Source organism: Homo sapiens, chromosome 4 (assembly GCF_000001405.40).
Source record: "Homo sapiens chromosome 4, GRCh38.p14 Primary Assembly".
In the NCBI taxonomy this organism is placed as follows: Eukaryota; Metazoa; Chordata; class Mammalia; order Primates; family Hominidae; genus Homo; species Homo sapiens.
The window spans coordinates 118,480,595-118,496,192 of NC_000004.12; the positions used below are offsets into that span (position 1 = coordinate 118,480,595).

The following is a 15,598-nucleotide window of genomic DNA, read 5'->3' on the forward strand; positions in this document are numbered from 1 at the left end:
TGTAAAATTTAAAATTATGTGTGATTATAAGTAAAGTATTAATTTTAATATCTTTATAAAGCACTTCTATTTAAAATATTTTTTACAGTTTAAAGGAGATGTTAAGATTTGGAAAGTAGATTAATGATATAACTAGGCATTTTAAGTATACAAAAATAATTATTAAAATATATCAATTAGACCAAAATAGTAGGCACTAATTTTGTGTTTTTATTAGATCCCCAGAATATAATCATATTTTTAAAATAAATTAGTTAATTTATTCTTTGAGATGGGATCACACTGTGTTGCCCAGGCTAGTCTTGAACTCCCGGACTCAAGCCATCTTCCCACTTCAGCCCCCCGAGGAGCTGAGATTATGGCACACACCATCTCATGTCCGGCTTAATCATATTTTTAAATGAAGAATTCCCACTTTGTTCAGAAATGTGATATGAAATTACAAATTCTTCAAAACCTCAGTGTGCTCATTGTAATGAGAAATGGCAGCAACAAGATTAGTTGAGTTTGGCAGCCAGAATGAAAAAATAGTTCTGGGTCAGATTCTCAGATTAATAGTCAAGGAACATATTTTTGATATTTCTGATATTGTTAATGGAGTGGTTCAGTCCATAAACCAGAAAATCAAGACTTCCAGGAGATGAATGGAGGCGTCAGTTGCCACATAAGGACCTTGCAAAGACATGAGGACAGAAAGATGGAGCAGCCAGTTTTTGAGATAACAGCAGACAAGGATCCAGAACTGGAGGAATTAAGTACAGGCACCTGGGCTCAGTATGGAAGACTAAGTCTGGCTCTGAACCAAGGATAAATTCCATGAGAACTCTTCTCACTTTTCTGCTTTTCACCCTAATTCTACAAGATAAATAGGACATTTTTCTTAGCTGGAGAATAAGAACATTGGTTCTTTAGGTATGCTCTAATGGATACAAGTCTAGAAAAGCGAGCATTATCAACTTCATCTTACAGTGCCCAAGGCTGAACTTGTCAACTTTCAAATAAATTCCCATCCCAGCTTTATTGTTTCTGTCACCAGCAGTTTTCTTCATGCCCATGCACAGAAACAGTATTACTTAGCACGCTTTCAGATGTAAATAACAAATGCTGCCTGAGACTAAACAGGGAAGAAATTTACTGGCTCACATAACTGAACCCCATGAGGGTTGTTTACTTCAGCATCTCAACAATGTCGTCATCAGCTAGCTAGCTTCTCTCCATCTCTCAGTCTTGCTCTTCATAGTGGTTGCAGACTGAGGAGTTTACCCTCACTCTCATAGGCTGCCTGCCAGTAGCAGGAAGGGGTACATGCTACTTTGATCACATCCAACAGGAAAGCGAAAACGTTACTTCCGGAAGACCTTCCAGAATTTGGAAGAACTTTGCCAAAAGTTCTTAACATCTCTCATCTCATTGGCCTCTAACAGGTTCAGGAGAGGGTCACCTGCTTATTTCTGAACCAATCCCTGGCAAGGCAAGTTAGATTATCCTTAAACCAGTCTTGCTCACCTTGAAGCTGTGTGTGGTGTTAGTTTTCCCCTAAGCCACATGATCTATGTCAGGAAAGAGTGGATGCCAGAGATTTTTGGAGTCCTTTGAGGAGGAAAGAACAGCGAAAGGATATTGAAAGAAAACCAAGGATGTCTGCTTTATTTGTAAATTTTGGGTGTTCCCTTCCCTTCATCTTGTTTGTCTAATCCTTAGGTCGTTGCCTTTCCCCACGCTGCCCCCCGTCCTGAGTCATGACTGGGCTACCAACCTCCTGGTTTCAACCCTCCTGCAGTTTATTTTGTATAACACATCTAAATTGATCTTTATTTTCTTTGTTCAAGAAACTACAATGACTGTCTTTTGCCTGCCAAATAGATTTTAAACTAAGTTGTTCATGTCAGAGTTTTCTAATTTTGTCCCAGTTTCCATGGTCAGCCTTACGTCCCATTACCAGTTGTTTGAGTGGTCTCTCCCAATGCATCCCCCATAAATTACGCTAATTCCTGCCTGCTCTTTTCCCACAGACATAAATACACACATACATTAAATGATAAAGGATACATTCTAAATGATGTCTGTATATTTATCGTCAGTACGTTACAGTTTCATTCACTATGTTGTGTGTGTGCCTCCTCCCCACAACTAAACTATACATGTCTTATTCCAGTACCGCATAATATACTATCACTGTGCCCTAGAGCCACCTAGTACTGAGAGGGGGAAAGATTTACCAATTAGGTGATTAAGAAAACATAGCTGAATATAATTATCACCAAACTCTGAAAATCAGTATGATAGTAATTTTTATCTTGCCATTAAAATTTTAGCCCTCCCCTGTCACACACAAAACAGCTTTTGAAATCTGAAGCGCATAACTTCTAACATACAATGAAGTGTATATGTAATTTTTGTACAGAAGGCACAACCATGATTTACAGTAATAGCTAACACTTCAGTAGTGTTTACTTTATCCAACATTCTTCTAAGTGCTTTGTATGCATTTATTTAATCATCACAGCAATACCTAAAGGTGTAGTTACTGTGATTTTGTAGATAAAGAAACTGAGGCATACTGAAATTAATTTACTTGTCAAAGTCACCCAACTACAAATAATGGAGCTGGGATTTGAACTTAGATTGCCTGACTCCTGAGTCCACGCTCTTAACCATAAGAAGTTTTAATATTTCAGCCATCATTACTCTTGTAAACACAATCACTCTAAAAGGATATACTTCATAGGGTACAAAGATTTAAACAAATACTCCAAAATCAAATAGCCATGAAAATTGATCCCTCCTAGCTCGGCATAATAAAATAAATTTCAAATGTGAAGCATCCAGCAATACTTTCATCTATATGAACGTAACTGATTCTCAGCTTGTGTGCTCTTTCTGCTAGATGACCAAAAGCCGTCTCATGATCTTGGGGTTCTTTTTGAGTAATAATTCAGTGATTTATGTCTTGTGTCAAATTCCTTAAAGTGCCCTGTCAGATACAGCTGATTAGTAATAGCCTTAAGAGACTCTCACTTGCTTTCTTATGTTAGTATGAGGATATTACTGTTTCAGATTTATCATTTGCAGCTTTTTAAAATATAGGATGAGGAAAATAGTTTACTGTCTTGAAATAATTTATGAAGCCAGCAGAAATTGTAGAATCAGATTTGAAATGCATATCAAGTGTTCTTTAATGTGGTCATTTTGAAATTAAGGTATTTTTAAAAACTTAAACTTTTTTTTAAGTTTCAAATTGTGGAATATACGTGATTAGTTTAATAATTTATCCTGTAGCATACTCTTAGTGAAAGCAAAAAGTGATTTGCTTCTTCATTATTAATTTTTAGAGTTGCATTCCAGAAAGGATAATAGAGTGTTTGCTACCTAGTAATTTTTAACGTTCCTCTCTGTGGGTTCATATATATCCAGAAACTCCTGAAGACTTGCCATATAGCTTAAAAAGCCCTGGTTTAAGCAAACACTTACTTTAGAGCAATTTCGTTCTCCAGAAATTGTGTGACTATTTTTAATCGTATTAAGACAGAAAGTTTGTCCTCAATTTACTTACAGCTATGCTTTTCTACCTCCTAACTTGGTCTCAACAATTAATTTAGGTTATAATTAAAGGCCTTTAAATGTCGCACACATTTTGAAATGGCATGTGCAACTGGGAATCGTAGATTTTTGGCTCTCTCATGTTGATTTTTAATCCAGCGAAACTAAATTTGGAAATTTTCAAGTCGTAGCTCCTTTTAAGCAAAAGGAGCTTCCCAGTCTTCTTAATTTGACATGCTTGAACAGACTAGGTTAGATGGATGTCTTAAGCAGAATGAGCTGTTATAATTATAGTTCTTGTCATCTCAAATAAGTTTAATATTTCATTGAATTTAGTACAGAAGAATGAAAAGAACATTTATTCTGGATGAAGTATAAGTATCCCTTATAACATATTGTGTTAAGGTAACACAGTCATAAAATACCTTAAGAACATAAGCAGATTATCACCAATTGCTTTTCTGATTTAGATATATGGAATTAATTATGGCATAGTCAATCATTAAATAATTTTTTAAAATCTAGTAATTGAGATTAATAATATAATATTAGTCTAAACAAGTATTTACTCTATTATTTAGTTTCATTTGGTATAACAAAATGAGTTTTGAAGATAGATGAATGTTAAATTTCTAAATTCCAGAATATGTTCTGTTAGTGTTCTGAGGGAGGAAAGGTGTTTTATTTTTCTATGTTGATTAGAAGACCCCTTATAGTTTTCTGTTAGGTACTTCTCAAGTGTAGTTGGACCACACTTCATCTGTTTTTATCATCTTTAGGGAAATGAATCCTTCCACATAATGAATTTTCCAGATGATTGAACTTTACTTTTACAGTTGATAGTTTTTTTAAAGTTTAACCATTTCCTAAGTTTCTATTAAATTAATTACCCATATTACCACCTTCTTAAGCAGAGAAGGTTCAGTATAATTTAAAACTTTTTCTTATGACTCAGAATCATCAATCATCAATATCAGTATTACTATTATTATATATATCAATAGCAATAGCAATATTGATATAATCAATAATCAAATATATTAGTAATATAATAATACTGATACTGCCCTACAATAATGTCCTCGGGAGACTGTAGTATATAAGACTGTTTGCCCTATATACTGAATGGTACTGGACTACCATGTTTTTGGGGCCATTTGTCTGCTCTTGTTTTTCATCTTATCTCTACCACTTGGTGCAATTTGTCTGTCCTTAATCCTCACTTTTGTACCCTGCCCAAGGTTTGCTACATGTGATCTGAGTAAATAGTAAAAACCTCTCGGTGAAGATCTTAACTGTTAGTAATGTTTATGAATATTCAAGGATAGGCATTGTCATATCTGTCTTGGGATTTTTAGAGTTGGGTTTTGGTATTAGCTTTTTGTCTTCCTGATTCTCAGCTGTTTTTGAAGGTTGAGGGAGAAGCATTTATTTGTGTACCTGCTTTGTTCTGGGTAACTTACATGATCTCACTTAATACTCATCTCACTAAATCTTCACAACAATCTTATGGGAAGATACTGTTTTCTCACTTTATGATGAGGAAAATGAGGACTACAGACTGATTAGGGATAAGATTTATCTGATTTCAGATCTTGTCTGGGCTTTGCATGAAACCAGGCTGCCTGGTTATGATCATCAGATCATAGTCTGCTGCCTTTCCACTCTATTGTGCTACTTGACATGGTTAGGTACTTGATTTCTAGATGAATTAGTTATTAACTTGTATAAGTCTCAAGTTTCTAGCTTTGAGTGAATGCGAGTTTGAAGTAGTACTAACGTGGGAATGGTGACCTTCAAAACAGTGCAGTGCAGTTGTTGATCTCAGCTGTTTTAATGCATGAAACATGTTAAAACATGTCAGTATTAACTGTGAACTTTTTTTGCAAGGGAGGAAAACTGAGATAATATTCCTTTGAATCATGAACAACAAGTGGTTGATAAGTGCTATATCCCTGGCCAGCTTTTTTGTGTTGCTTCATAGCTGAGCCACATCAGTTTTATTTAGCTCTCTGTATAGTGGATCAGTTTTATTTGGCTCTCTGTGTAGTGGTATTAGAAACTACCATCTTGACGTTGTTCTGTCACCTGAAGGATGAGCAAAGCAAAAACAAACTATATGTATATATCTATATGGGGGGAGGGAGAGAGGACAGGTTTATGAACCAGTTGTATGGACTTGATCAAGTACAGTACATTGTACATAGTAAAAAAATCGATGTCTGAAAAAATAGAAAAATAACATTAATGAACTATTAATATATGAGAAGCAGTTAATACATTTTATTCTAATGGAAATTTTAACTAACATGACTTCAGAGTAAACACTCAGAAGTCCAGCTGAACATTTTATTTTTAAGAAAAAGACAAATTAACTCTTTAATCAAACATTCTTTTAAACTTAGGTCATGTCATATAAATGTATGATTATTTCTCTGATAATGTAGAGTTTTTCCAATACTTTTCTTTCATGTTCAGTGATAGGAAAGCTGAGTAGATTTTAAAAGGGATAATTTTTCACAGTGAAAATTACAATATATTCTTTCATATTATATGTTCTCTTTGCCTTGTGTTTAGATTTTTTTGACAATTTATTATTATTATATTTATTGTGGAAATGGAGCTTGTTGTCTTCCGTGCCCTATCCCACACATTTGATTATGAAAGAGAGATGTTACTATATCATTCTTCTGTAACCTAACAGCAGTCAGGTTTTATATTATTTCATATTCAGACTGCTGTCAAGAAACCAATTATAGTACCTGACAGATCCCACTAAAATTTAATTTTTGAAAAGATGTTTCAAAAGACCAAATGCTTCACTTAATTAGAAAATGTTTGGAAACAACCTAGTCTCCCTGTATTGCCTTGTTTTCCTAATAAATTGTCTGTAAGTGATTTTTCTATTAATCTGTTTAAAAGCAGAATTTATTTTTGAGCTTTAGGGAAATATGTCTCATTTCAACTTGCTCTTCATTTTGATAACGGACATGCTTTGCTTCTTCAACAACAGGACAATAGCATCTTTAATTTTTTTATTTTGCATTTGCATACCGAAAACGTTTTAGTTGTCATTTTCATTTATGTATTTTATTCATAAATGCATCTGTTTTTATACTTTTGTATTAGATTCTGAGGCAACAGAAGAATAGTGATAGTGTTCCAGAGTTGCTTGCTCCTTCTGCCAACTCATGTTAATCTGAGGTTTACAATTCAGCTTTCCTCCAAGGAATTTTGACACTTTTGCATATTCTGCTGTATGGAAATGTAAACTTCCAGAGTTATTGTCTGGAAACTGAATTTCCTATTTTAACCTTATTTCTTTCACACTGCTGCTTGGATTGCAAACCACATGTTTTAGTCTTTATAAAATGTTTGTATCTTCTTGCAAGGATCACACTTCAGCAATATCTTTGTCATTCTGAAAGTAATGTTTCTGAATGTAATGGTGAAGAATGGTACGTGGAATCATTACTTCCAGAAGATCACTTACATATTTACTTCATGTTTGTATTCTCATTTGAGCACCTATTCTCCTTTGGAGCACTACATGTGTTCATATATATTTCAGATATCTCATCTTCGTGACTTGAGAAGGGAATTCATGGTTTTTCTGTCACTTTTTATATATACATTGAACATGCATCTCCATCTACATTTTATTTTAATTCTTTTGGACCTTGATGAATTCTAGATCCAAGTTGGAAAAAATATGGACCTAGCCATGCAAGATCCATTTCTTAACTGCTTTGCTCTCATTTGCCATTGCTGCTGCTTATCTTCCATCCCCTATTGGTAATCAAATAGCATGTTTATAATCAAGATTCTTTCTTCTCTGTGACATTTGTTCTGTGATATAAATGCCATTGGTTTTCATCCAGACTGTGATCTGCCTTCTGGTTCTCACGGAGTAGTACACATGGCCATTACCAGACCCCCTCAAGTGCCAGAAGCAATCAAATATTTTGAATTTTCTCTTATTTTTCTCATTAGGGTGCAGCATAGATGCCAAGCAAGTTGAGGAACAATCTGCAGCTGCAAATGAAGAAGTACTTTTTCCTTTCTGTAGGGAACCAAGTTATTTTGAAATCCCTACAAAAGAATTCCAGCAACCATCACAAATAACAGAAAGCACTATTCATGAAATCCCAACAAAAGACACACCAAGTTCCCATATAACAGGTGCAGGGCATGCTTCATTTACCATTGAATTTGATGACAGTACCCCAGGGAAGGTAACTATTAGAGACCATGTGACAAAGTTTACTTCTGATCAGCGCCACAAGTCCAAGAAGTCTTCTCCTGGAACTCAAGACTTGCTGGGGATTCAAACAGGAATGATGGCACCCGAAAACAAAGCTGCTGACTGGCTAGCACAAAACAACCCTCCTCAAATGCTATGGAAAAGAACAGAAGAGGATTCTAAAAGCATTAAAAGTGATGTTCCAGTGTACTTGAAAAGGTTGAAAGGTAAAGTGATTTGATCATTCAGAACTTCCTACTTTACGATAAAGAAAATCTGGTCTTCATTTACTAGACTACTAGTAGATACTTACATGGTAGAAAACATTCTGCTTTTTTCAAAGGTTACATTTAGTCTTAAAACTAAACAGGAAGCCACACTGCCCATGTCCAATTTCCTCATTCAAAATAGTCTTCCTTCATTTTCTTGACAAAACCAGATTGGTTTTATGAGCTTATATTTATGCTATAAAACATGTTTCTTTTTCTTCTAGAAATACAAGATTTATTAAGTTCACCAGTAGAGTTCCCTAGAAGATGAGTTCCATCATTTTCTTGATTTAAGGCAAAGATATATTCAATTCTGTTCTCTATTGAGATCAATATCTAGATTCTGAAAGAAATTTTAAGCCATTTGGTCTGAGCCAAAAGTTCTACTTTGGTAATGCAGTCACATCATTGATGGAGCACTTCAAAGTATTCTCAGTGGTTACTCATAAAACAAAGATTTTTGGTTTGGAAATATTTGGTAGGATCTATTAATCCAGTTTAAAATTTTTTTTAATATTAGGACTTTATGAAAATTAGAGTTGAATGTTCATTTTTGAAATAGTTATATATACTTTATTTGTGTACAACTTAGCCAAAATTAGTAACATTTGTATGTCTGTACACTGACGTATCAGCTGATCAGGTTTTTCTCATTGGTTTTGCCAATTAAATTTATTTTAGAATTGAGTATAGATTTATGTTACCCTATCTTTTATTTAATAAGCTATCTATAAGGAAAACGATTTTGAACAAATTGTGATTACATGTTTATCTGACCATTCTGTTACTATATTAGGAGTTTTTGTACTCCTAACACTTCATCTAGTACTTGAGCATGTGATAGGTACTAATTTGAATAAACAATGGGCGACTTCTCTGTCAATGACAAGACTGTCCCTGATTTAATCTGTACCTTATGTCCTGGCATTCTGATCAAGTAATGAAGAAATAGTATTTGTATACTTATTTCTGATTTGCTTCTAAGACATTTCCGGACAGTGAGATGATGTGATTACCTAATTATTTGTTGGAGCCTATCACAATATTTAATTATAGTTATCAGCAGTTACCTGGCATATGTATTTTTGAGACATGATTGTGACCTTTTACTTCTAGACAATACGTAATTGAGACGTTTTGTTTCTATAGGTTAACACTCACAAACACATAGGCTGTTTATATGAATTGGATAAATAATATTGATCTCCTAGTACAGTATAAGAGGTAGCTGAACCTTGAGAATTTAGAAATAACTTAGACTTTTTAAAACCACTCTTAATAAACAAAAACTGAGGTAAAATATCCTTTTAAAAGGTAATCATTTTAAAAATACCTGTATTAAACCCATTTATAACTTAGTCATTATAACTATTTTCTGTATTGACTATTATTATTATTATTACTTTTTTTTTTTTTTTTTTTGAGACGGAGTCTCGCTTTGTCACCCAGGCTGGAGTGCAGTGGCGCGATCTCGGCTCACTGCAAGCTCCGCCTCCTGGGTTCACGCCATTCTCCTGCCTCAGCCTCCCGAGTAGCTGGGACTACAGGCGCCCGCCACCACACCCGGCTAATTTTTTTTATTTTTAGTAGAGACGGGGTTTCACCGTGTTAGCCAGGATGGTCTCAATCTCCTGACCTCGTGATCCGCCCACCTTAGCCTCCCAAAGTGCTGGGGTTACAGGCGTGAGCCACCGTGCCTGGCCTGTATCGACTATTATTTTTAAGCCATTATTTTAAAACATTCTGTCCTCACAAGCCCATTTGTGGGCCTAATTCCAAATAGAGGGATTAATGTCCACATGTGTACTGTATCTGTATTTTAATGATTAGATCTTTTAAGCCCTTACTAGAAATTATGTAATCATATTACTGTTGTCCTTCAAAGTTGATTTATAGGTAGACATACATCCCAGTATGGTGCCAGTGTGAGAATTCTTCTTTTGGATTTGCCTTCAGACCATTTTACAAGCCATTGAAGATAATGTTTTTGTGAATATAACTCATTTTTTGATCCAAGATAGACTCATTTTACTTTTCTGGACATGTGTATAAATGACATGTAACTTTCTCCAAAAGTCAGAGCTTCCATCATTAGATAACAATTTTCCATGATTTAGGATATAAAAAGTATATAGCCAGACTCTAAATAAATGTAATTATAGCAAATAATAAAAATTTTACAAAAATTAGGTTTTCAGCAACTGTTTAGATCAAAGAATTGAAAGTAGGCAAAACAAAACTAAAACAAAAAACTTTGCTCCTACAAGAGTAAAATGCAGGTGCTTTGCGACAGTGAGGAAAAGAAAGCCCATACATTTTAACCCTTTAGGAGAGTTGCCACTGTTTTAGGCCACACCACTGACTTGTTACAGCTAACCTACCCTAAAAATATTAAAAGGACTTCAACGTATTTAGGCATGGTTAATGATAAGCAAAGGAAAGAAAAGAACCTGGTGAGGACTGTTTCCTAGTGACTTTATTAATGAGTAGAAACAGAAAATTGCAGCTGTGATGAGATGTTGACTTGTATAACCCTGACAGAATACAAGAGGGAATGGTAATTTTCCAAAAAAGAAAATGACTAATTTATAAGAAAAGTTTTGAACTACAGGTTATAGGAAAGATATTTGAAAGGGCCTGACACCACTAAGTGCCAAATTTTATCTATTGGAATCAATTAAATTCTGTGAAGATGGTATTTTCATTAAAATCTTTCTGTATGTGCGTGATCTGTTATTCTTATGGTACAGCAAATATTGGAATTTAGTTATTTTCAGCTTTTAGAAACTGGATTCCTTTTCAATAGAGCCAATACAACAATGAAATAGGTTGTAAAATCTAGTGTTTTTAATGAAGTCTATATTTGAACTAGTGAGTTTGTTTGGGCTTGCCTTTCATCTGCTATCTGTTATTCCTAGCTTAATTACCTGAGGCAGGGATTTCATTAATTAATCCCATTTTTTCTTTTCAGATTGCATTTTGAGTAGTCAACAATTTGAAGAAAGATCTTCAGATTTGTTGTCATATATGATTTTTATAGTATTAATCACTATTACTTTGATAGACGTGATCTCCAAATCACCTTCATTTTGATCTTACTCCCTTTGTTTCCCTTGCCTATTACTTTTCCAAGACATGACCCTTTTCTGTGTGTTCTGCAGTTCTCTCTTCTGTGTCTTCTCATTCCTTTTATGCACCACATTTTTATAACTAGTGTTTCTGTGTTAAATCATTGGGACCAGTTAGTAATCTCTAAATTCATTAGGAACAACCTACAAACATTAACACTCAACTTCCCTAGACATAGGTCATTTGCCTCTCCCACCCCTAAGTCTTTCATGTCTGATCATTATTTTGTTTGGTACCATATTATTCAGTGGGTGTTCACATTAAAACTTGTAGCCCAGGTAAATTTAAAAATCAGATTTAGTCCTGGAAGCATTAGAATGTACCTTGTTGACTAAATTCATTTATAGCTAAAGAAGCTTAAAACTAATTTAAGCTCTGATTTGTGATTCCATTTAAAACATGCACAGAATAACTTGACTTTCTAATAATTTCATGCTGTAATAATAAAATATCATTTGATTATTTTTATCATATACTTATTACTTAGGTAATGAGAATTTTAAATCAAGAAAAAAATAATTTTTGTGTCATCACATCCAAAACCTAACAGAACCATTAAGGGTAACTAGTGGCTTTTACTTGCTCTAAAATAGAAAAACCTTTGTTAAAGAGGTGATCTTTCAAAATTCAAATATATTCTAACCTGATATGCTTCCTGGGGAAAACAGCTGGTTATATTTAGCACCATGCTGTTTGCCCAGTGGTCCTTAGATCTAGGTGGAGATTTCATAGATGACCCTTTGCACTGATAGACCTCTCAGCATGCTTTCTTTAACTCTGAAGCCACTAGAGTTTCGAGTGCAAATGCAGTTTTCAAAAATTCTCACAGCTGGAAAGATATGTGGAAAAAATTTTGCAATAATTAATGGGGACTACAAATTTGAATCTTTTTAATAAAAAGGAAAAATATGCTGAGCTTCTGAAAGTACTGAACATCAGTGAAGCTTAAGATTCATCACATTTTTACAATACTTGTGTTCTCATTTCCTGTGTAACAGTAAGCATTTCAGTGATATTACCCTTTTTCTTGTCTTTCTTCATCTCTAATGCTAGAGTCAAATTTTTTATTGCTAAATAAGGTGTATAATTTGAAGGCAGAATTAATGTTTATTGATGTTAGGAATACAAATATCGCAGAGATAGAGCATCGCTTATCTATTAAGACATTGATGAAACATTATAAAGTTAAAATTTGGAGAAAGGCGATCCTATTCAGTTGTTTATAAAGGACCTCATTGTTAGTTGATAAAATTTGAATGTAACCATTGCAATTGAGCAAGTTTGCCGAGCCTGTTACTGAAGAGAACATATGACTTTGGATTGATAAGGAGGAGGGGAGCAAAACAAATAGCACTTTTGTACATGCTTCTAAATTTCTACATGGGACTTTTTCCTTCTCTATTGTGTGGTTTCTTTTTGTATCCAGGAAATAAACATGATGATGGTACGCAAAGTGATTCAGAGAATGCTGGGGCTCACAGGCGCTGTAGCAAATGTGCAACTCTTGAGGAACACTTAAGACACCACCATTCAGAACACAAAAAGCTACAGAAGGTCCAGGCTACTGAAAAGCATCAAGACCAAGCTGTTGTAAGTCAAACTGCTTTTATGATTGCATTCTTTGATGAAGACAATCCCAGAAAAAGAAGGTCATATTCTTTAACTCAAAGTGCGGGAATCTTGTGTCAGGAAACTACATATTCAACACCACATACAAAACTTGAGAAAGCAAAGTCTTCAACAGCAGATGCCAAAGTGGTTTCTTTGTCTTTACAGACTAGCTCTGTGCATCACAGAGGGGGGCATGGTGTTCCACATGGGAAACTGTTAAAACAGAAATCAGAGGAGCCATCGGTGTCAATACCCTTCCTACAAACTGCATTATTAAGAGGTTCAGGGAGTCTTGGGCACAGACCAAGCCAGGAGATGGATAAAATGTTAAAAAATCAAGCAACTTCTGCTACTTCTGAAAAGGATAATGATGATGACCAAAGTGACAAGGGTACTTATACCATTGAGTTAGAGAATCCCAACAGTGAGGAAGTGGAAGCAAGAAAAATGATTCACAAGGTAAATAATTGAAATTTGAGTGTGATCTTAGTTGTTGTGTGGTGTATTTGACTGGTGGAAACTATTGGAGAGTCAGCATGAGATGTTGTCATGCAGTCAGTGGTATGTGAATTTTAGGGTTTTATTAGGGAACTGCAAGACTAACAGTAAGACCAACATGCTTTGTGATTTTATTTGCTGATATTCTGAATTTACCTGAGTTTCATACATAAAGCTCTGTACATTTAAAAGGTTTGGACCTTTTTAATTTGTGTAAATTAAAGATAGGTTTTAAAAAAATAGTATGCTTTGGACATTCTTGCTTTGCATTTACTTAAAAAATAAAAAGAAACAACCAACAAACATTGCTATAACTCTGTTAAACATAAATGTAGATATTAGCCAATAATAGTTAACCACAGATTTCCTACCTGCTGATTTCATGTTGGAAGATGAAAATACTTATTTTAGCTTTGTTCTTTGTCCGTATTTTTTCTTAATTTCTATTCACTGCTGTCATTGGTGGTAGAAGAGAAGTATATGAAAACAAAATCAGTTGTTTATGATTTAGTTTACTAGTTTAACCACGTATATGACCAGTCATGATAGTTACCTACATTTCAAGTGTATTCTTTGATATTATTGGTTAGCTGTGTAAGGATTGTTGCATGGTTTAAAAAGTAATTTTTCTCAGTTTTGCCAATGGTCGTGAAAGGTTGACTTCAGAATCAGCTATCAAGGTTGCCGTTGAAAGTAATGGCAAAAACCGCAGTGACTTTTGCACCAACCTAATATTACCTCTTGCAAAACAGCAGTATCCGTTTGGCTAAACGTTAATCTTTTGTTTGAATTCTTGTTACTCAAATCCGCTCCATGGGTTAGCAGCATAAATATTACTTGGAAGCTTGTTAGAAATGCAGCTTCTCAGGCCCATCCTATATATACCAAGTCAAAATCTACATTAGAAATGAGATCTCCAGTTGACTAATGTGCACATTAACATTTGAGATGCACTTATTTAGATGATGAGTTTCTGGAATGGCCTCTTCAGGGAGGAGGGCAAGATAAGATAACCCTTTGGGATGCAGGAAAAATATTAGAACTTAATGTTTACTTTTATTTTCATATTTTTAATTTTTATTTTGGATTGTGTTCTATAGTGTATAAAATCTATTACTACACTGTAAGAGAGTATGTATAATTTCTAAACATACATTTATTGTGGAGTACATGCTTAAAGTTTACCACTGAGCTGCTCAACTCCAAACTTTTAGAGACCCATTGTCTGGGAAATAGGTGAGCAATATTATAGTTGTTAATATGAAAAGTATAGTGTTTAAGAAACATCTGATGTTTCTTAATGACTGATCATAATGGCTGATGTTTTCCCATTAAAAGATTATTTTGCAGTGAAGGATTTTATATGTATATATATACAGAGAGAGAGAGAGAGAGTGCAATTTAAGAACATGGACACTTGTAAGCAGACAGATCTGGGATTAAATATAAACTTTGCATGTGCTAGTGTGTGCCCTTGGGTAAAGTTACCTCTTTAAGCCTCAGTTTCTTTTATCTCTGAAACAGAGGCGATATCACTAGATTATAAAAAGAATTCAATAAAACATGTAAAAGGCTTATCACAATACCTATCTTATTATATTGCTTTATAAGTGTTGCTTTATCATTACTGTTATTAGGAGTTTCCACATTTGAATCTCTACATAAAGTACTGACAAATCCCAGAATGTTCTTTCAGCACTGAAAGGGTTAAATATACAACCACAATGGAAGTGACAGTGTGAGGGGCTAGCTTGGCCAGGACAGCAGAAAGCCAAGAAAGAAGTCATTGTAGCAGATGAAACTCTTCAGGAAACTGCTGGATAGAGAGGGTGGCCACAAAACCTGTTTTACACCTGTTGCCTGCAATTATCATAAGCATCATTTTTTATTCTCAGAGTCCATTTTGACAGCAAATTATATGGTCACACTGTGGGTAGAGAAACCCAAGACTTTAGAGCAGGAGTCATTTAAAGGAGTAATGGTAGTGTGTGACTGTGTACATAGTTCAAAGTCATTCTTAGTTTGTATAAACCAGAAAATGAAGCTGAGACCATATTGCTGGGAAGAACAAAGCTCACTACATTATCTTGTGACTACCAAAGAAAAAGAGCTAAGATTCCATTAGTTTGAATCCACATAAAGCTTAAAGCCAAATTTGGGCTAATTAAAGTCAGGCTCTGGGAAAACAAAAGCATAAAAGCAGGAATCATGTCTGAGTAAGATGAAGTAACCTGTGGGTATGAAGAAAACAAAGACCAACAACAGCCAGAAGGAAGGCAGAAAAAGCACTTTGGGAGGATAGGAGTAG

The 15,598-nt window shown here is 34.6% G+C and overlaps 1 long non-coding RNA gene across 1 annotated transcript; it reads right to left on the reverse strand.

Moving 5' to 3' along the window:
• Window positions 1-1,323: 1,323 nt before the first annotated feature.
• LOC105379403 (uncharacterized) lies at window positions 1,324-13,742 on the reverse strand. The gene is made up of 3 exons (XR_001741802.2): window positions 13,662-13,742; window positions 11,825-12,010; window positions 1,324-1,590 (listed from the first exon to the last, which is right to left on the reverse strand). It is a non-coding gene; the product is annotated as an uncharacterized LOC105379403 (long non-coding RNA).
• Window positions 13,743-15,598: the final 1,856 nt, after the last annotated feature.